This window comes from Homo sapiens, chromosome 12 (genome assembly GCF_000001405.40).
Source record: "Homo sapiens chromosome 12, GRCh38.p14 Primary Assembly".
NCBI lineage: Eukaryota > Metazoa > Chordata > Mammalia > Primates > Hominidae > Homo > Homo sapiens.
The window spans coordinates 18,282,789-18,306,534 of record NC_000012.12 but is presented as its reverse complement, the minus strand read 5'-3'; the positions used below and the strand labels follow the sequence as shown (position 1 = coordinate 18,306,534).

Here is a 23,746-nt window from a genome sequence, read left to right as displayed (position 1 = left end):
GTGCTCAAAGTGGTATTTGGAGCTGACTCAGCATAGATAAAGGTCAGTGATACGTTGTTTCACTAAACCAGTGCTTCTTGAGTTTATTGTTATTTTGTCTTCAAGTGAGCTACCAATAGGAAAAGTCAAACTTTATGACTTTTGAAGAGACAAGAATAGGTTCAATCCTAAAACTAGGGCTTTTAGGCATGAGGTGGTTAGTAGAGGAGAGTCAAGCTTTTGAACAAAAATCCTGTATGGGACATAAATTGATACCAACAGCTAATACTCAAGAGGGATTTGGACCAAGGAGATCTGAAACTTTCTATTCAAATGCCCTATTTTTCTTAAGACTTCCCACAAGCCTATAAAAAGGCAACTATCCCTAATGCCTCCTCACTCAAATATGGTTATTTTTCTTCGTACATATAGTACATATGCATTTCTTAAAATTCAAAAAATGGAACATTCTGCAAAGAGGTTTTTTTTTAATCTGGAAAAAAGTTTTATAACAACTCTCAAGTTTGCAACGCTCTCCCTACTAAGTAACACAGTCACAAAAGACAAGTAGTAACATAACTATATAAATGAAGTTACTAAGAAAGTCGGTAAAAAAAAAAAAGATAACAATGGTGAAACTGTAACTTTCTTTCTTTCACAAAAAATATATACTGAGCCCCAAGGAGCTCTTTTTGTGGGGGGTATGGTATGTGAAATTTATAAAATTTAGTAATTATACCAGGAGATCAAATATGCAGACTTCATTCTATCCTAAGGTTTTATTATTGTTTTTTCCCACAAAATCTCCAGAGGAGAAACATCCTACTACAGACTTTACAAATAAAAAACAATAAATGAGTAATGTTTTGTCTTATTAAGGTGATTTCAGCTAATTTGAAGAAATATGTAATTCAAAAATTCTCTAACTAATCACTTTATTTAAGAAAAATGGAGCATTGGGTCATTTAAACTTTTATCAATTGAAAATTAGGAAGATTTAATAATTCTTAGCTTTGAAAAATAGACAGTGCTTTTGGGTAACAAAAATAATGTGACAGCTGCATTTTGGTATTATACATCTACAATAATATTAAATTATGTACCTACTTTCACATGTAATTTGCCATGTCTTCTTGGAACACTCTTGCAACAGCTTCGAGATTCCTTTGACCAAGTTTATTAGTTAATGATGCTTGTGCAATTCAGCTTTTTAAAAAACTTGGGGCTGAAATATGCTGTCATTTTTACAAGTAGCTTTTAATCATAATAAACAAACTTTATTTAGCACAAGGTCTTTCTTTGGGATTTCACTCTCAAGTGAAGGTATATACAGAGTATCTACATATGAGGACATTTGTTCTAGCACAGAATTATTGAATTAAGACCAAATGCAGGTTTGTATGGTGTGCTATTTTTGTGGTCATTAGCTATTTACTGAAGATGTAAACCAAAGTTAATTATAGAATATTAGGTGAAGCACTATGAAGGAGATTAAAAAAGAAATTAAAGTCATTCAAGAAACTCTAATTGAATGATTTATTAACAGAACACACTTTTTTACTGTGTGTGAGATAGCTCAAAGTTATGATATGTTCCTTTCTATCCTCCCACATGGTTCTGTGATTTTATAAGTGGAGGAGTAGAGTTATGTAAAAGAGAAATGCACTTTATCTATTTCTTTGCTCAAAGTAAGTCTTAAAAGTTGGAAGGAATTTTAATATTTGAAGTCTTAGGCTGTAACAAATTTGCTGGAAGTAATCAATTCGTTCAGGTTTGCTAAGTGAAATCCTTAACTTCACTGAGAAGAAAAAAGACTCTTCTTCCCCAGCAATATATACAATGCAGTTTTACTGCTAATGAATGTAATCTATTACTTAAAACTGTATATATTATGACTTAGCCTTTTTCTCACTGGTAATTAATAGTTTTATTTTTACTCTGAGTACAAGACTATTTCAATTTACAATCAAATGTTTAATGAACAAATTAATATAAATTGGGCCGGGCGAGGTAGCTCACGCCTGTAATCCCAGCATTTTGGGAGGCCGGGGCGGGTTGATCACTAGAGGTCAGGCATTTGAGACCAGCCTGGCCAACATGGTGAAACCTCATCTCTACTAAAAATACAAAAATTAGCTGGGCATGGTGGCATGCACATGTTGTCCCAGCTAATCAGGAGGCTGAGGCAGGAGAATTGCTTGAATCCAGGAGGCAGAGGTTGCAGTGAGACGAGATTGTGCCACTGCACTCCAGCCTGGGTGACAGAGTGAAGACTCCATCTCAAAAAAAATGAACAAATTAATATAAATTGTCATGAGATTAGTTAGAACTTTTTTAAAATATAGAAGTTTTTTGAAAAGGATTATTTTAGAATTTTAATTAAAAGGATTTAATTTTGTAAAACTATTTTTGTACTCTAATAAAAGGAATGCATCGTCTCTACTAGGAGAGTCCCAGAGAGAAAAACAAGACTCTCAAGTAGATAAGAAGATCATTCTAATCAATGTGGGTGATGAAAAAAGAGGTAAATACCACCTTCTTAATTTGATTTTAAAATATATAACTACTTCCAAGTAAAATTTTTAATTACTGTAGAATTTCTTTTTTTTTTAAGAATATGTTTTCAGCACTCAATTCTAACATTCCTTGACAACCGTCAATTAAATAATAAAAAAATTGTTTCATTTAAATCAAACATATAAAATTTGACCATCCTGTAAGCAATTGGCCGAAACAGAATTTTTAAAAAAGACTAGTATTTACTCAGGAGGCATTTATGGTTTACTACTGACAATGCAATGATTATTCAGCAAAAGCTTTTAAGTACAGTAAATTTTATTGTTTTACATAGAAGCTAATAAGAATTATTTTTAAGTTAAATTAGACAGAAAGACTTAGAGTAAGATTTTTGAGATAAGAAATTACTTAGGCTGGGTGTGGCAGCTCATGCCTGTAATCCCAGCACTTTGAGAGGCCAAGGTGGGCTGATCACTGGAGATGAGGAGTGAACCTGACCAACATGGTGAAGACCTGTCTCCACTAAAAATTCGAAATTAGATAGGCGTGGTGGTGCGTGCCTGTAATCCCAGCTACTCTGGAGGCTGAGGCAGGAGAATTGATTATAACTTGGGAGGCTGGGGTTGCGGTGAGCCAAGATCATGCCACTGCACTTCAGCCTGGGTGACAGAGTGAGACTGTGTCAGAAAGAAAGAAAGAAAGAGAGAGAGAGAAAGAGAGAAAGGAAAGAAAGGAAAGAGAAAGAAAGAAAGAAAGGAGAGAGGGAGGGAGGGAAGGAAGGAAGAAGGAAGGAAGGAGAGAGAAAGAGAGAAAGAAGGAAAGAAAAGAGAAAGAAAGGAAAAGAAAGAAAGAAGAGAGAGAAAGAGAAAGAAAGAAAGAGAAAGAAGAAAGAAAAGAAAAGAAAGAAAGAAAGAAAGAAAGAAGGAAAGAAAGAAAGAGAAAGAAAAGAAAAAGAAATTACTTAAATCACATAGGTTAGGCCCATCTACCACAGCCTACTGCATCTGTGTGTACCACTGGGGGGTCTGAGGACAGGCCTGCTCTGGTTTGCACTGCCCCTCCACCCCGTGCTCAAGCCTAACGTCTGGGACCCTGGGAATCACCCTGCCTCGTCTGCCACCCAGCCATGCATGTGCACCAAGAGGAAGCCTGACAAAAGACTTAGCCTGCCTGCCACATAGCACCCAAACATATCCGTGGGGCTGGGAATCACTGCATCCTGCCCATCACAGCTTGTACTCCTAAGTACCACTGGGGACCCTGAGGACAGTTCTGCCCTATCTAGTGCTACACCTCTAGTGCCCAACTACACTGCCCAGGTCCTTGGGAATCATGCCACCCTGTCTATGCCTGAAACACACCAGCAAAACATCAGATGGCCTGACAAAAGACCCACCAGGACCCAAGCATGCGAGGTGGGGACCTGGGGATTGAGCTGCTCTGCCTGCTTCTACTGGTGCACATGAACACCATCAGGGAGCTGCAAAACAGGCCCAAAATGCCTGTCATCAGTGCCCAAGCACCTTATCCAGAGTCCTGAGGATCGCCCTGCCCACCCATAACATTCTACTCCTGTGAACACCATCATAGAGCCTGAGGACAAGCCTGAATTGCATGGCACCACCACCACTGCTGGAACCCATTCACACAAGCCACTGGGGGACTTAGGGATTGGCTTGCCCACCTTGTCACTGCCACTGCTAGCACCAGTGTGAGCCTCCTGGGAGCCTGAGTGTTGCTTCTTCTCTGCTACTTTCATCATTGATTGTAGGCGCACTGCCAGGGGCCCCAAAACCTGCCTATCCACTCGGCCCTCTGCTGCCACTGCTGGCACCCAAGGAAGTCACCTGGGAGCCCAAGCATCAGTTCACCTGAGCCTGCTAAATCCAGTGCCCACATAGGCTACCCAGGAGCCCAAAGACAGCCATGGTTGGTCCACCACTACCACACTGGAAGCTGAGGTTTAATTCACCCAGTATCCTTGTCCCTAGCAAAGCCTCACCACTGCCTGAACTAACAACTGTAGCTTAAGCCACTGAGGAAATTACAGAAATCATTGATGCTGATTACAGCTAAAGGAATCACAAGAAATCACTGCTGTATTTGCCTAGAAAGAATGCTGAAGTTGTATACCCACCCACACTATAGATGTATCTGTAGGAAAAAGTCTTCCTCTATGAAAGCCTATCCAAAAAAATTGGAAGAAGTGACTATTACACTAATAGCATATATATTTTGTGTAAAGACATAAGAAATATAAAAAGCAAAGAAATATGAATCTTCAAGAGAACACAAAACTCTCCAGCCACGAATTTCATTCCAAAGAAAAGAAAATATATGAGATAACTTTTTAAAATAATGATATGAAAAAAACTCAGTGAGATACAAGAGAACACAAGCAAACAGCACAAAAAATCATAAAAACAATTCAGGATCTAAATAAGAGAGTAAAAAAAGAGACAAAAATAATAAAAAAGGAACAAACAAAAATTCTGGAACAAAAGAATTCAGTGAATGAAATAAGAAATATAACAAAGAGCTTTAACAATAGACTAGCTCAAGCAGAGAGAATTTCAGAACTTCATAATAGGTCTTTTGAAATAACCCAGTCAGACAAAAAAAAAGTAAAACAATATTTTCAAAATAAAGAAAGCCTATGTGACATATGGGACACCATAAAGCAACCAAATATTCACATTTTGGGTGTTCTATAAAGAGTGGAGATGGGCAAAGGCATAGCAGACCTATATAATAAAACAATAGCTGAAAACTTCCCAAGTTTTGCTAGGGATTTAGAAATCTATATATAGGAAGTTCAAAAATCCCCAAATAGATTCAACCCAAAAAGGTCTTTTCCATTGCACATTGTAGCCAAACTGTCAAAAGCCAAAGACAAAGAGTATTGTAAAAAGAGCAAGGGAAAAGCATTGAGTCACATGGAAGGAAATCGCCATCAGCCTAACAGCAAATTTATCAGCAGAAACTTTACAGGCCATGTAAGAATGAGATGATATATTCAAAATGCTCAAAGAAAGAAAAAAAGAAACCACTCTCAACCAAGAATACTCTACACAGCTAAGTTATACTTGCCAAATGAAGGAGATATAAAGTTGTTCCTTGGAAAGCAAAAACTGAGAGAATTCATCACCACTAAACCAGACTTACAAGAAATGCTTAAGGAAAGCCTACATCTGGAAGTGAAAAAACAATATCTATCATCATGAAAGCACATGAAAGTATAAAACTTACTGTTAGAGCAGTCACAAAAATGAGAAAGAAAAAGAACTAAAATATTACGCCTGCAGAAAACCACCAAGTGGCAGTGCTAAATAATGAGAGAGAAAGAAAGGAACAAAAGATATACATAACTAGAAAACAATTAAGAAAATGACAGGAATAAGTCCTCACCTATCAATTATAACCTTGAATATAAAGAAATTAAATTACCCACTTAAAAGATACAGATTGGTTGAATGGATTTTAAAAAATGACCCAATTATATGCTGTCTACAAGAAATGTCACTTATAAAGACACATATAGACTGAAAGTGAAGGGATGTAAAGATATTCTGCATAAACAGAAACCAAAAGTAAGCAGAAGTAGCTATACTTATATCAGATAAAATAGACTTAAGTGAAAAACAATACAAAAGAGACAACTAAGGTTTGTCTCCAATAACAGTGGGATCAATTCAGCAAGAGCATATAACTATTCTCTTTATATGTGAAATAGTACATACATATTTATATGTATCCAATAAACACATACAACTTATCAAGATTGATTCAGGCTGTAACAGAAAACCTGAACAGACCAATAATGAGTAATAAATAAGACTGAATCAGTAATAAAAAGTCTCTCAGCAAGGAAAAACTCAGGATGAGATGGCTTTATTGCTGAATTCTACCAAACTTATAAAGAAGAACTAACACAAATTATTTTCAAACTAGTCACAAAATTTGAAGAGGGAGGATTATTTTCCTAATTCATTCTACAAAACCAGCATTACCCTGATACTAAAACCAGACAAAGCCACCACAAAAAATAACACTACAGATTAATGTCCTGATAATGAACATCAACACAAACATCCTGAAGAAAATATTGGCAAACTGAATCCAATTATACATTAAAAAGGTAATACACCATGATCAAGTAAGAGCCTAGGGATGCAAAGATGGTCCAACATATGCAAATCAATATGCATGATACATCATGACCACAGAATGAAGAATAAAAACCAAATGCTCATCTCAATAGGTACAGAAAAAGTATCTGATGAAACTAAACATTCTTGATAATAAAAACGCTCAACAAACTAGGTATAAATATAACATACCTCAACATAATAATATGACAAACCCACCATTAACATCAAACGGAATGAAGAAAAGCTGAAAGTCTTTTCTTTAAGAACTAGAACAAGACAAGGTTGCCTACCTTTAGCACTCTTATTCAGCATAATAATGGAAGTCCTACACACAACAATTGGGCAAAATATATAAATAAAAAGCAGCCAGATTGGAAAAGAGAAAGTCAAGTTGTCCCTCTTTGCAGATGACAGGATCTCATATTCAGAAAAACCTGAAGATTCCACCAAAAAACTCTGTAAACTGATAAACAAATTAAATAAAGTTGCAAGATATCAAATCAACACACAAAAATTAATAACATTTTTATGAACCCATAACAAACTAACTGGAAAAAAATTAAGAAGGAAATCCCATTTACAACAGCTGCCACACACACTGAAAAACCCTAGGAGTAAACTTAACCAAAGGGGTAAAAGACCTCTGCAAGGAAAACTACAAATCTCTGGTGAAAGAAATTGAACAGCACACAAATAAATGGAAAGACATCCCATGCTCGTGTATCAGAAGAATTAACATTGTTTTGACCATACTACCCAATCTACAGATTCAAAGCAATTCTTATCAAATTACCAATAATATTCTTCACAGAAATAGAAAAAGAATCCAAAAATTTGTATGGAAGTAAAAAAGAGCCCAAATAGTGAATGCAATCTTGAGCAAAAAGAACAGAGCTGCAGGCATCACACTACTTGCCTTCAAAATACATTACAAAGTTATCGTAACCAAAGCAAAATGATATTGATATGAAAACAAACACATAGGCTAATGGAACAGAATAAAAAAAACCCTAAAATAAATTCATTTATTTATAGCCTAGTGATTTTTGACAAAGATGTTGAGGACAAACCTTAGGGGAAAGACACCCTCTCCAATAAATGGTGCTGATAAATCCAAGTATTCATATGCAGAAGAATGAAACTAGACTCCTATCTCTCACTGTGTATAAAAATCAACTCAAAGTACATTAAAGACTTAAACCTAAATCCGGAAATTATAGAACTTCTAGAAGAAAGCATAAGATAAATGTTCCAGAACATTGGTGTAGGCAAGTTTTTTATGGCTAATACCTCAAAAGCACAGGCAACAAAAACAAAAATACACAAATAGGACTATATTAAACTAAAAAGCTCCTGCATAGCAAACAAAACAATCAACAGAGACAATCTGTTGAATGGGAGAAAGTATTTGCAAACTGTTAATCTAACAAGGACTATTATGCAGAATATAAAAGAAACTCAACAGCAAAAAAAAAAAAAGAAAAAACACACAAACTAAAAATGAACAAACAAATAATCCCATCAAAAAGTGGGCAAGCAATCTGAATAGACCTTTCTCAAAAGAAGACATAGAAATGGCCAAGAAGTATATAAAAAATGTTCAAATCACTAGTCATCAGAGCAATGCAAATCAAAACAACAATGAGATATTGTTTTACCCTTGTTAGAATGGCTGTTATAAAAATAAGTAAATAAATAACAAATGCTGGCAAGGATGCAGAGAAAAGGGAGCTCTTATACACTGTTGGAGAGAATGTAAATTACTACAACCATTATGGAAAACAGTATGGAGATTTTGCAAAAGACTAAAAATAGAACTACCATGCAATTCAGGAATCCTACTTATGGGTGTTTATCCAAAAGAAAGGAAATTAGTATAACAAAGGGATACCTGCACCTCCATGTTTATTGAAATACTATTCACATTAGCCAAGATACGGAATCAACCTAAGTATTCATCAATGAATGAAGAAAGAAAGAAAATGTGGTATACATACACAATGGAATACTGTTCAATTATTTAAAAAAGAATGAAATGCTGTCATTTGCAGCAACATGGATGGAACTAGAGGCCATTACATTAAGTAAAACAAGCCAAAATATTCTATATTCTTACTCATATGTGGGAACTAAAAATGGTTATCTCACGGAGTTAGAGTGTAGCATGATAGTTATAAGAGCCTGGGAAGGGTATGGGATGGGGAGAGGATGAAGAGAGGTGGGTTAATACATATAAACATATAGTTAGATAGAATGAATCAGTTCCAGTGTTTGGGAGCACAGTAGTTTGACTACAGTTAACAACAATTTATTGTATATTCAAAAAAACTAGAAGAGAAGATTTGAAATGTCCCTACTACAAAGAAATGACAAATGTTCTAGGTGGTGGATATTCTAAATATCCTGACTTGATCATTATACATTCTATGTAGATATCCAAATATCACATGTACCTCATGAATATTTACAATGTATCAATAAGAAAATATATCACACAAAGAAACCACAGCTGTAGAGAAAACAAATCACTGGAGTGGTTTTTTGGTTAGGATTGAGAAACAGAAAAACCTGCGCTCCTAGTAAATATTTGGCTAGAGAGTAATAAGAGAAAAAATTATGAAGAAGCATTATACTTCATATATTATCAATATATTTATGAAGAAAAATACTCATGTGAGACGGTTACAAGTATAGGTGAAGGTACAATTGTTACTCCCTGTCAAAAAGAGAGATGCAGGGACGGTCTAGGAAATAGTTTCATTTTCTAGGATCTCATATCTGTGCTACATTCAATAGGAAAGAAAAGATATAATTCCTGTCCTTGAGCTCACTGGAAAGGCTGACTGGGATCAAGCTATTGGACAAGAGCATGGAAAATGGGATTATCAAGGACTCCTTGCTCCATGGTAATTAAACCGGGAGTTAAAGAACAGGAACATGATGAAAGATTTTAATATTTTTTGAATGAAGCAGATGATTTCTTTTCTTCTATTATTTATCATATTGCTGACAATTTTGCATCAAGCTTCCATGAACGTATGACAAAATTGATAGTTCATGTTCTGATTCTTTAATTTGCTCTGTGTTCATTATATATTGTATTATTTAAAATCAGACAGGGAGAGTGAGAGTAAGAAAGTGAGAGAGAGAGAAAATGAAAGTGAGAATAAGAATGAGTGAGTCGGGATATTTTAATTGAGAGAAAAGCTTTTCTGATACTAAATTAAAATGAATGTTAAATAACTTGCAAAAATAGTATAGTTGATATATGAAAAGGGAAATTTTGATTTGCTAGGAAAATCATCTTTTTAATTTTGCAATAGTACAAGGTAAAAATGTCTTTATTACTTTGTTGATTAGAGCTAGTTTTTATACCACGTACTGTTCTGGAAAAGAGGATAATTTTTGGAGAGTCTAAGTTCTTAAGTCATTACCATTCTTGGCTTCTAATATCTCACTACTTGAAATGTGGGCTGTAGACCGGCAGCATAGGCATCACCAGATGCTTGTTAGAAATGGACAGCCTCAGGCCTCACCCAGACGAACTGAAATCAGAATTCTTTTTCTAACAACATCCTCAGGTGACACTTTAAAGTTTGAGAACACGGTGTTAATATCAGAATAATTTTGAAATTTCTATATGCATTATATGGGTTCATAGTCATATTTATTTACATTTCCCCTTTTTCAGGATTTTATGTAATACTTCACTAACCCTGAGAAATATAGGGTCTTAACTAATATAGCAATATAACAGTGCTATGTTTGTAGTCATATGTTTCATGATCTATTTGACCATTATTTTGAAGTATTATCAGAAAATTAGCATTTTCCCCAGCTGAATACTCCAAATGAAGTGTACTTCTATAAGTTTTAGAGTCTAAATTTTTACTTATTGCACTGTTAACTTATTACATGCTACCTGTGTTCTCTGTATAAAGAAGAGCTTTATGAACAGATTTCCATGTCTTTAAGGACATATTTTTTAGACAAGTTACACAGGAATACACTAAAAGTAATATTTGAATGACTAATATATATTCCTTTAGATGCTAGAACAGTAGTAAATATTCTGCACATTAAAATAAGTTCTGTCAATACAAATAGGCTATTACTCTTAAATAATATGCAAATCCTTGACATACACAAATGTTTCAATGTCCATTAGGGAATAAATGACTATATTTTACATATATTAATATTTGGCAACTTTCCTATCTTAATAAAACCCAATTAAATAAATTTTAATATGATTAAATGACTATGAAAACATTAACATGTACATTTATTAGTTAAATATTGAGCCATCTACTTATGAATAATTTACCTATTTAAAACAATGATTAAATCAAGGTGTGTAAATTTTCTCCACATTATACTTTTCCGAATTTCTGTCTCTTTAATACAATTGCTTTCTGGATGGCATTTTCTACTGCTAAAACTTAATGCAAATATTTGACAATGTTTTGCTCTTTGGATATAATGTTTTGGCATCAAGAAAAGTCTAGATGTACATTTGGAAAACTACACATTCAAAAGATGAGTTTAAATGAGTATTCAATATAAGGTTAAATTTACTAAAATGCTTTCCTGTGCTCATTGGATTTACTGTCAAAATTGTATGTTGGGAGAAGGTAGCAGACTAGTAAATGAGTGTGTTAATAAGTTCAAATAAAAAGGGAAAAGGGAATATCTGTGAGCTTAGTGCAACAAAACATATGTAATTTCATATAAATATTTATTATTTTGTTTATGTATAATTATTTATTATAAAATAATAATTATAAAAATGCTATTGAAATATTATTTTAATACAATATATTTTGTTATTAAAATAATAAATAATAATGAAATATTATTTTTCCCACAAAAAGGAAAATAGTCTTAAGGCCATTCACTGTTAACACTGCACAGTAAAGAACTGGATTTACTAATAAGAATGTCATCAAATTTATCAAACTTCCCAAAAGATAATTTCAAGCACATTCATGATGGAATAATAATGACAGTGACAATGAGAATTTCAAAGGAAATACATTTTTACTTCCATGAGATGTTTTCAATCTTTAGATACTTGTAGAGATGCAAAGGGGATATATAAATAGGGATCTACTGTATTAAACGTTTTAGTCTTTAATACTTTACTGTTTAGAATAACTATGCAATACCAGCAGAGAAATATTTATTTTCTTAAAGCTGTATTATTTGTTCAAGACTGGTCTGTAGGAATTTCAGGCAAATGGTTACTTTGGTAAACTAAAAGATGATTTTTTTTTATCAAATAAGTATTTGAAGTTGATATACTGAGGACAGGCTTTTCCAATTGTTTTTAATGAGCTGCCTCAATAAAGAAATGGTGGTTTAGAACTTACTCTTCCATAAAAAGTAAGTTATAATGCTTATACTTAAGGCCCCTGTGATTTAAAAAAAAATCAGTATTTAATCAACATGCAAGTATTATTCTAACCAAAAAATTACTTATCACCAAAGAATTTATTTACTTAGCTGTGATCAGTTCTAATAAGCTTTATTACAGGTAGGATGAGCAACTTGTCCTAGTTTGGGACTTTACTGGTTTTAAAACTGAAATTCCTACATCCTGAGGGCTACCTCCAAGCAAACTGAGATGGTTGGTCACCCTAGTCACAGGTCATTTAAATATTTGTTTTCATAAGTAGTCATAATATAAAATCAAGAATAAGATTGTTAATATGATTTAGAAAATTTCAAATTCACTGCAAAGGGGGTAAAATTGATTTAATTATATAAGACTATAATGTTTGTGTAAAGTCTGTTTAAAACAAAACCATAAACAAGTGGTAACTTAATATTTACAGATTATAATACAACCAAAATTTCATAAAATACTTACTTTTGTAAAAATTCTTCAGAGCCACATACACTTAGAATATGATCTTTGGGGAGTAGCTGGTCATTTGTGCAAAAATGCAGAATTTCTGCAATTAGATCTTTGACAAGATAATTAGCTAAAGAAAAAGAGGAATAATAAAAGTCAATAAAAGTGTATCATATACTGACTAGGAAAAGTTTTTGAGCACAAAATATGACCAACACATTATGAAGGATTGTAACTGTCTAGCTTCATCAAGGGGAATTAAATTGAGATTCATCTGACTTATCAGACTGGTTAGATTTAAAGATATTTGGGGAAAATGTTGTTTGCAATTCCTTTGATCAGTTCTGCTTTCATGTGATATAACAAAGCTAGGTATTGTGTTTCTCATGTTAAAGCCCTTGGTACACTGCAGTTCTGCATAAAAATCTACTGCAGTTTCTCTTAGGGACTTGGGAAATACACTCAGGAACTTGGGTATAGCCAGGCAAAAGTTCCAGGGGGTGTTTGATTCTTTCCATTTTCAACCAAAGTGAGACATATTGCTCCTTCTAAGGGTATCAGCAAGATAAAAGATTCTGAATTAACTGCAATAAATATTTTCAGGGCATTTACACTAGTTAATATTCATATTCATGCCATGACATTAAGACAATTCTGTGATCATTAAGATGTTCTTATCAATGTTCTGTCACTGAGACATGGAAATAATATAGATTTTTCATTTTTTAGTTGATTTATGTAAACAAGTTATTTCGCCTTTTTGACCTAGTTTCTTCATCTGTTAAATAGGATTTATAATAGCACAGTTTATTTTCTTCAAGAATCTGGTGCGAAGCTATCATAAAAAAATAGACAAACGTGGCCAGTAAATTTAAAAGTGTTATACAGGTTATATTCACTCTGGGATATAATGTTAGTATTAATATTAATAATAGCTATATTTTACGGAGCAATTACTCTATTAAGTGCTTTACATGTCATTTCTTGATTATTGTACCTATTATATAGGTATTATATCCCAAGTTTCAAAGATGAATGGACTCATTTTCAGGGAAGCTATGCAATTTTGTAGAGATTACACAGTTAGTGTTAAGTGTCACACTTAAACAATATCTGTTTACTCCAAGGCCTGTGCCCTTAATGACTGTAAGTCTCCACAGTTGGTTGTTCTCTAGACTCTAAACAAGATCTGTCAGACTCCAAATCCACCGTTGGTTCTTCTTCCTTTCCCATGTAGTAATTACTCAAGGTTCTAGCTTGAACAGCTATATTATAGAAACTTTAATGAATATCTACTCTCTCTCTCCACCTTTTCCTTTGGAACTCAAAATGTAGACATGCTATAGGGTAAAGTCATTTGTCTTCTCATATTCACATATCATAATCCTCCCTTTTAAGCTCTTACATGAACATGCTATTTAATAGTGGCCAGCAACTGAAGACAACATGACCCAACCTATGGTCTTTCTGATTGGATCAAGGTGCAGCATCATTGATCTTGGCCGAATAATCAGAATCTGGCTTTTAGGAACTGGGAGCTGGATCCCATAGAGATAGTGAACTGTCTGTAGATAGCTAGACTAGTAGCTTGGCTTCCCACTTGTTTTAGATAAGCAAAGGAAATGAGTGATCAGAGAGTGAGAGGAATATGAGAAGCAATTATATGAAATGAAATGAGATGCATACAGGAATTCTGGGCTGCTTGATTATTTGTGTTTTTCATATATTCCTAATTGTTTGCTGAAATTCATATACTTGAATTCTATAATAAATCCATATATATATATATATATATATATATATTTTTTTTTTTTTTTTTTGAGATGGAGTTTTGCTCTTGTTGCCCAGGCTGGAGTGCAATGGTGCGATCTCGGCTCACTGCAACCTCCACCTCCCTGGTTCAAGCAATTCTCCTGCCTCAGCCTCCTGAGTAGCTGGGATTACAGGCATGCGCCATCACACCTGGCTAATTTTTTGTATTTTTAGTAGAGATGGGGTTTCTCCATGTTGGTCAGGCTGATCTCGAACTCCCCACCTCAGGTGATCTGCCTGCCTCGCCCTTCCAAAGTGCTGGGATTACAGGCATGAACCACTGTGCCCAGCCCCTATATTCTTTAAAACAATTTTTTTTTTTTTTTTGCTTAAGCTAGCAGGAATTGGTTTCTTTTCATTTCCAACCAAGAGGGTCTTAACTAATATACCAATATAACACTGCTATGATTGGAGTCATCTGCATTAGCTGAGAACCTTGAATAGAGTAAGAAAGAAGCACAATAATAACAATAATTAATAAATAAAAGAAAATATTTAATGGATCATTATGTGCCAGGAAATAGTTTCCTGTTGATATGTAGAAACTCACTTAATAGCAATCTAAATGTTTAAAGAGCTAATACTGTTTTGCAAAATAGTGGACTATAACAATGAAGTAAGATACTAAATAACTTTACAGATATTCTAAAACTTTAGAAAAGTAAAAATCCTCAGGCGAATTTGATAAAATATAAATTCCTGGGTGTCATCCCCAGAGACTGAATCAGTAGGTTTGCTAATTCTGATGGAGGTATGTTATACCATGCTACTAGATTCCTCATTAAGGAAATAGAGATTCTGTGTAACAATGCCTATTCTACCTCACAATTTATTTATATTTCAAGGAAATACTTGTTCCTAATAGATAGAAGCAGCCATTTTTACTTTAATACCATCCTTATCTAGAATCTTTTGAAATTCATTTTTTAATATATTAAAAACTTGCTATACTTGCTATTAAGCATTTTATAGCAGGAAGATAAAATATTATCGGGTGAGCTATGTGAAGATACTTCTTGAAGAAAATAGTTTTGCTTTCCTCCCTTAAGTATTAACAAATGGATCCCTGATGTTTTCTTCTTATTTCACTTCAGAGAAAAACAGTAGCTAATATTATTTTTTAATAACTTCAGACTTTGAATTCAAGGCTACGTCGCCAATACCAGCTTTGTATAGATTTGTAGACTTATTTGCAAGGTTGCTTACCACATGGCATAAAATGAAGAGGTTGTGTTGAGTTATCAATAAAAATATGTATATTAAACTTGGTCTTAGAAAAGAGCTGATACGGAAATGCTGTAGTAGTGCTCCAGATCTTCCCAGAATTGAAATTAACATCAGCTGCATGATATCTTTCTCTGATTCTGAAAAACATATGTTAAGAAAAATACTTAGGACAAGACCTGCAAGACACAGTTTAAAACATATTGCCCACAATGTAATTTTAAGAAACTTCATGTAGTGTTTTGCTATAAAAGACTTAAAAGATGAAAGCAATCAGTAATTGATTTGTGATGCAGTGCATTTAGCTAGTCCAGATTGGTAGAGATTGCAATTATACCAAAAACAAGTGTAAAGGACTGTTCTTTAGGCTTTCCCAGGAGCATCTCATTTGAAATAATTAAGAATTCATTGTCATAACATGAAACGTGAGGATTCACGCTGAATATTATTACTTGCTTCATTTACATTGCTTTTGATGTCAGAGTTCTTCCTCTTGGATTTCTTTCATGCCTAATTTTGTCAAGCTGCGAGTCATTCATTTTGATTTAGAAATTTTGGCAAATAAATTCTCTTGTTCTTGTCAAGTTTGTAAACACTATTTTTGTCTCTCCATTTTCTTTAAAATTTTTGGATACTACACAACTACTTGAATTTTACACAAATATTGGAGCCTAAAAGTAATTCTTATATTCTGAACAATTGCTTACACATAAATGAGTCAAAGAATTGCAAAAACAGTTTATCCTTGGAGCCAGAAGCCTTGACTTTGAATCCTGGCACTTTCATTTAGTAATGTTATGGCCAGAGGCAAGTTATTTGACCAATTTTTTTGAACAAGTAAAGATATTAATAGCTACCTCAAAGGTTTACTGAGGTGGATATTAATATCTACCTCAAAGGTTTTCTATTACAATAGAAAAGACATGTAAAAGATTTACAGATTATAAAGCAATATACACATGTAAAGTATAATTGTCATTATATGTTACCATAGCTTGATTCCCTGTGATCAGTGTTTTATGCCCACATGTAGAACATAACATGAAGATATTTTCAAGTGGATATTTAAAATGTTTCTGAGGGTGAATATGAAATCTTGTTTTTTTTATGTTAACTATGCTGACATCTAAACCTCATGGTTCTCTACCTAAATTGCAGAAACTGCAGTTAATTTTGCACAAACCTAATAGCTATTTTTGTAGCACTAAAGCTTTATTCCATGGAAACATCTCCTCCATCAGGGGCCTGGCAAATGGGTAAGTAAATACACATTCACCCAATGGCCTGGCATGCATCTGTATCCACTCGTGTTCTGGATCCCATCCCCTTAGTTTCTGATTCAGTAGATCTGTGGAGGGTTCCCCAAACTTGTCCTACTAACAATTTTCCAAGTAAGCTGCTGCTGTTGCTGCTCTGGAACTGCAGTTTGAGAGCCACTGCTCAGAATAAGGACATGGGCCACTCTTCATTGTTATACTCTACCATAAAGGTCTAGAGTCCAGTTAGGGATTGAGGAGCCTTATGAGTTAGCATTTATCATATAATAAGACACTCCTCAATGCGTCCATGATTTCAGCTTCTACCATTTTAAGAAATTAAATTTAAAATACAAATTCATGATTCATTCTCTCCTAAACTTTTGCTGAGCATCTACCATGGGCCAGAAACTTCTTTCATATGTTATGGCATGTTACCATATTTGTTACAAGAATATGGCATTTTTTTTGAAAGATGTGGCTTTAAAGTATGTTACAATGAGAAATCAAAGTTTTGGAGAACCTCTTTTGAAACAGCTCTCAAATTCCATTTGATCTTCTTTTGAATTAAGGGTGCTTGCCACATACTAGGTCCTCAAACATACTTATTTTTGAGTAAATATCCTGTTGTGTACAAAATAATTATGCATGTATACATTTAATCATTTTATAAATATTTGCCAACAAACAAATTATTGAAAACAAGGAAAGAGTGTGTGAATATAACTTATGGCTTCTTTTCACTACTCTAAAGTTATTGTTTGGTGTATGTTTTAGTTTTCATGACTATTATGAAATAAACTATTTAGAAAAATTATATTAAAGAGCTTGGAAAATGCACTATAAGTCACTGGAAAATCATCACATCAAGTATTTCGATGTCACTAGTGCATCCACAAAAATATTTCATCCAAGAATAAGAAATTGTGTTTTAAAAAAGAGAATTGCTGGAGGAGCTAATAATGTGGTCTGTGAGTAGAGTTATTCAGAAGAGTGATATCTTAAAGTATGAAGAGAGTTCTTTGCCATGCTTAGAAGGTAAAATAAAAATTAACCATATTTTAGACTTAAAGTAGCAAGTTTCTAGCTATGCTTATCATATTGTCACAGTGAGTAGCTTATTCCTGAAAGAATAAATGTTGATGACATTAAAGACCCTAATTTAGGAATCCTAAGTACTATTTAGAATTTTTTTCCCATAAACTGGAGCAAGAAATTAATTAAAGATTGAACATTTTCGTGAACTTGAGGTGATTTGTTTTGTATCTTTGTGTGTAAGCCTTTCAATCCTTCTTATGGTTATAGGTTTTATGAGGCAGGGACCTTGCTTTTTTGTTTACTTGTTTATTTTAAATTTGAGTATCTCTCATGCATAAGCTAGTTATTAGACAATGAAACAGACTTTAAATGAATGATTAAATAAATGATTCAAACATTTTATTTCAAATAATCATTTGGTAGAAACTGAAAGCTTATAAAAATGTATAGTTATTATATTTCAAACAATAGCCAAAACTGAGTTAAAACTAAAGAATTAAAATATGAATGCATTAGTTTATCTTCTTCTCTTTTTTTTGAGACGGAGTTTCCCTCTTGTCACCCAGGCTAGAGTGCAGTGGCGCGACCTCAGCTCACTGCAATCTCCACCTCCCAGGTCCAAGTGATTCTCCTGCCTCAGCCTCCCGAGTAGCTGGGATTACAGGCGCCTGCCAACATACCTGGCTAATTTTTGTATGTTTAGTAGAGACGAGGTTTCACCACGTTGGCCAGGCTGGTCTCGAACTCCTGGCCTCAAGTGATCCACCCACCTCGGCCTCCCAAAGTGCTGGGATTACAGGCGTGAGCCACCGTGCCCAGCCTATTTTTTTTTTCTTTTTTGAGACAGAGTCTCATTCTGTCGCCCAGGCTGGAGTGCAATGATGTGACAGCTCACTGCAAGCTCTGCATCCCGGGTTCAAGCAGTTGTCCTGCCTCAGCCTCCCAAGTATCTGGTGTTACAGGTGCACGCCACCACACCCAGCAATTTTTTTTTCTTTTATATTTTTAGTAGAGACAGGGTCTCACCACTTTGGCCAGGCTGGTCTCAAACTCCTGGCCTCCAGTGATCCACCTGTCTTGGCCTCCCAAAGTGCTGGGATTACAGGCGTGAGCTACCGCGCCCAACTGAATGCATTAGTTTTTCAAAACTTTCAGAAACCCTAGCAACAGAAGAGGTAGAACTATATAAATTTTAATTGCTAATATGAAATTTGCCTTAAAGAAGGCATTTATGTTTATATCATAAATTCATTTTTAGATTAACAAAATATCAGTGATTTTTTTGGAATATCTGCCAGTGATCAAATTCATTTCTCAATGCATTAACACACACGTATTTATTCAATATTCTGCCAATCCACTCAAGATAAGATTGAACTATGATGATTCTAAATAGACTGTCCCAGGTAGGGAGGATAAGTTTGTGTTAATTTGGGGGTTAGCCAGAGGAGTTAGTCACTTACGTCATTAAACAAAAAAAAAAATTCACTGCAAACCAAACCACCAACAAACAAGTGCATGTCCAAATTTATAAAACATTTAACTTTAACCAAATTTTTAAGAGAAAAACATCTATTTGACTATAAACAACAAAAACATTAACAGAAGTTGATTATTGAACTAATTTGTCAAAAAATTTTATTTTTTAGTGTGTTCAGAAATTACATGACTTTGACTTTTATATGCAAAATTAATCAGTTCAGTGATGTCAAAATACACAAATTTATTCAGGCACAAAAATTTCAAAGTTTAATGAAATACCAGTACTCACTTTTTTACTTTGTTGCAAAAAGAGGCCAGACTCGTATTGCTGCTTTGAGGTACTTCCACTAGCTGAATGGAACAACCTATTGACTTAAAATAAAATCTACTAAATTAATATAATTTGGAGAAGAGAAACTATTAAATAATTCTACAATTTTATCCTGTTTTGAAGTTTCATTCAGACTTCATTTTTAATTTTTTTTAGATTTTTTAAAAATTGAAGTAATATTTACACATAGAAAAATGCACAGATCTTAAGTATATAATTTGAGTTCTGTGGAAGGCATAAAACTCTACTATCAGTACCCCAATGACAATATAGAACATTTCTTTCATTTTAGAAAATGTCCCCATGTCTTTTTTATATCCATCTGCATATCTATTTGGTAACTACTGTTATTTAGATTTATATCACCATAAATAATGTATATGCATTCTTTTGTTTGTGGCTTCTATGTAATGATACACATGTTTTAAAATTATTTCTGCTATCACACATATCAAAGGTTTATCATTGTTATTGCTGATTAGTAGTATTCCATTGTGTAACTGTTCCACAGTTCGTTTAGTCATCTTCCTATTAATGAACCTCTGAGTTGTTTTTAGCTTTTTGGTATTGTAAAGAAAACTATTAATGCTCATATACAAGTAATTATGTGAATGCATGCTTCATTTATTGGGAATATATGCATGAATAGCTTGGGAATATATGAATGAATAGCTTGGTCAGTGAGTGCATGTAGGATTAAAGAAACCATTTTTGCCTTATGCGTTTTAAAACTGTTATTAGGTACATACACATTTAAATTTATTATCTCTTCCTGATTGACCATTTTAGCATTACGAAATGATCCCTTTTTTCTCTAATAGTACTCAGCCCTGAAATATACTTTTTCTGATATTAATAATCATACAAGCATTTTTTTCTGATTGAATGTTGTCTTTTTGTTTATTTTACTTTCAATCTATCTCTGCCTTTGTTTCTTGTGTCCCTTGTAGACAACAATTGAGTCCTTCCTTTTTTATCTCATTTGTCAATTCCTGCCTTTTGTTTGGAATGTTTATTCTATTTACATTTAGTATATTTATGGAAATTGTTAGATTTAAGACTGTCTTATTTATATTTGTTTCTATTTGTCTTTTCTATTTTATTCTGTTCTTCTGTTTCTCCTGACATGTTTATTTTATTTTATGCCTTTGCTGCATTTTTAGATTTTCTTCTATTTTTCTTTTTTTTATAATTCATGGTACTAGCTCTAGGAATTGCAATATACACCCTTAATATATCTCAGTTTACTTAGAACTACTATTGTACCATTGCATTTAATATGTAAGAATTTACAATAGCAAAATAACATTTAACCCCTTCCACCCATTATGTTATTATTGTCAAATAGTTTTTATCCACATACACAATAAATCCTACAATAACATGCTATTATATTGCTTGGTACATTGTCTTTCAAAAAATTTAAAGTAGTCATTTGTATTATTCAACATATTTACTATTTCTATCACTCTTCACTCTTTCCTAGATTCCATCTGGTGTCATTTTCCTTGTACCAGAAGTATTTAATTTGGCATTTCTCATGTGCCTGCTAGCTGACTAATTTCTTTCAGCATCTGTTTACGGTAATGTCTTTATTTTGTTTTTGGTTTTGAAACTTATACTCAGTGGATATAGAAGTATGTTTTATTTTCTTTTAAAGAATTTAAAAATGTCATTCTATTGTCTCTGGCTTCCATTGTTTTGAGTGACAAGTTTTCTTTCATTCAGATTGTTGTTCCACTGTGTGAAATCTTTTCTTACATTTTTGCCCCCTTCCCTAATTTTCTCTTTTAATTTTCAGATGTTTGAGTATAAAATGTCTATATGTGGCTGTCTTTGCATTTATTCTATTTGGGTTGTGGCGAGCTTGTTAGATCTGTAATTTGATATTTTCTATCAAATTTGAATAATTTCCTGACCATTATTTCTTCAAATTAATTTTGCTCCCTATTTTTCTTTCCTCCTGTTAGCATTCCAGTTGTCCACATATTATGTTTCTTGTCTCATAAGTCTCTGAATCCCTGCTCATGTTTATGTGATCCCTGTGTTTTCTGTACTTCAGTTTGGCTAATTTCTACAGTTTTGCTTTCAAATTATTATTTTTTCCCCTGTTCTTTCCTATCTGTTGTTAAGCACATCCAGTTACTTTTTTATTGCCTATGTTTTGTTTCCAGCGCTGGACTTGGCCTTTGTTTTTGTTCCTTTGTTTCTTGATGTTTCTAATTTCCTGCTGAGATCATCACTAGGCTAGCCATTATGAACTTCTTTAACTTTATCTACTTGAACATACTTTTAATAACCAATTTAAAGTTCCCATCTGTTAATTCCAACATCTGGATTATCTCAGAGGCTCTTTTGACTGGTAGAGTTATTTTCTTGAGCGAGAGCCAAAATTCCCTGCTTCTTTACATATCTATGCATTTTTATTTTATGTTGAATTTTGTAGATGGCACACTATGAATCGTTAAGTTTTTTTTTCATTGGCAGGCAGTTAAAATCCTTGTCTTATTTGCCTTATGATTCTGAATTTTTGTTGTTGTTAGGCCACATCTATTTTGGTTGATGTAGCATTGATTTTAGAGCATGAGTTTTACTCTTAAGACATGGCTTTGTAGCTTCATTTGAATGCCTGAAGCGCTCAGCTCAGTCTCTTCTCTAATTTGGCCCAAATTTCTGCGTTGTAACTTCAAGTCTGTGTAATTAACACAATCCTATCCAATTCTCAGCCAAACGCTGACATTATCTACTAAGGCTTGCAAGCACATCCCAATACTTGGCCAAGCCGTAAGTCCTCTCTCTACTTCTGACCCATACCCATTTCATAGCTACCTCTTCTTTAGCACTCTGCTTGTCAAATCACAGCTGCTTCTGCAACTTGGAACTGCAGGCACTGTCTTCGCAGTCAGTGATACTGCTGCTCAAATTGGGCTCCAGCAGCCTGCATAGCAGCATGAAATTACCCTCAGGCACAGACTGAGATGATCACAGGGCTTGCTTTTCTCAAGGATTTATGTTCCATACTGCCTATTCAACACCTTCAATCACCTGATTCACTTATTTCGTCTAATTGTATAGTTGTTTTGATGAGTAGGGAAAGTTTAGTAGTTATTACACTATTGTGATCAGAACTAGACAGCCCTAAGATTTACTGAATTTTAATTTAGATCCTTTGAGGTGCTACCTCTTTTGCAAGTGAATTCAAATGAAGTAGAATTAGATGTTTCTTTTCCTATGCACTTACTCCACCTGTTATTTTACTATGTTGCCATTATTTGTTTGCAAGTAAACATGAGCAATATGCTATTCCTGAATTCAAGTATCATATCTTTTCTTCTTTGCATTCATTCTGGATAGCATATCACAATATGTTTTAAGGATTTGATAAATAGTTGTTGAATAAATAAAGAACCCTTCTGCCTCACCCAGGAAACTGCAGCTGCAATAATGTTTCTTCTTTTTTAAGTCGGAAATAAATATTATTTACTGCTGATTTTACTTTGTCTAGACTCAAGCAGAGAAATAAGTAGAGAAATCTTCAAATACAGAAAAAACTCTGGTTACTAAAATGATTGGAAAGCTAGTAATAAAAGCATTAAGATGAGTCACACAATGAATACTTAATTTCCTACCCTTGGAATGATCTCAATAGAAGTTGCCTGCCAATCGTATAAATTAGGAGACTCTGGGTAAAGGGGCATTTTTTCCTACCAATAATGATATAAAGTTTCAAATCATTACAATGTGACTCAAAATATAATGTAATGAAACGTATTTGTGTTTGTGTATGTGCATTAAACAAAAAACAGAAAATATTATCAGTTAAACCTTCAACTCTGCTATTTTTATCAATGAAATGAAGGTACCATAACTAAAACCAAGTAAAATTTTATAATAGTTTTGATGAAACTGGAACTGGAACTTTATAGATGATTTTTTTTTTAATTTCCCTTTTTCTCAGAAAAAAAATCATTAATACAAGAACACATCATTTGTGAAAATTTTTTTCAAAAGTAAGATGAATAGATTTCCCTATTTAAGTTTAGTTATCTTCATTACCAAATTAACCCAATACATTATTGAATGATTCTTTCAGATTCAT

General features: G+C 33.6%; 1 protein-coding gene and 1 long non-coding RNA gene across 17 annotated transcripts in view; one reads left to right on the top strand and one right to left on the bottom strand.

Annotated features, from left to right (window-relative positions):
• PIK3C2G (phosphatidylinositol-4-phosphate 3-kinase catalytic subunit type 2 gamma) overlaps positions 1–23,746 on the bottom strand; it is a 483,857-nt gene that overhangs the window by 420,283 nt on the left and 39,828 nt on the right. For 14 of the 16 annotated variants that reach the window (XR_931307.3, XM_047429007.1, XM_017019471.2 and 11 more), the window contains 3 exons: positions 19,606–19,688; positions 15,523–15,680; positions 12,520–12,634 (listed from right to left, as the gene is read on the bottom strand). Coding sequence is in view for 15 of the 16 variants with exons in the window: in XM_047429007.1 (XP_047284963.1) it covers positions 12,520–12,634; positions 15,523–15,680; positions 19,606–19,688 (356 nt within the window). In the remaining variant the exon portion in view is untranslated. The remainder of the gene's footprint in view (positions 1–12,519; positions 12,635–15,522; positions 15,681–19,605; positions 19,689–23,746) is intronic. The other 2 variants (XM_047429010.1, NM_001288774.2) reach the window with 1 other exon arrangement.
• On the top strand, positions 2,455–21,828 carry LOC124902890 (uncharacterized). Its single transcript, XR_007063233.1, has 3 exons — positions 2,455–2,503; positions 9,444–9,553; positions 21,134–21,828. It is a non-coding gene; the product is annotated as an uncharacterized LOC124902890 (long non-coding RNA).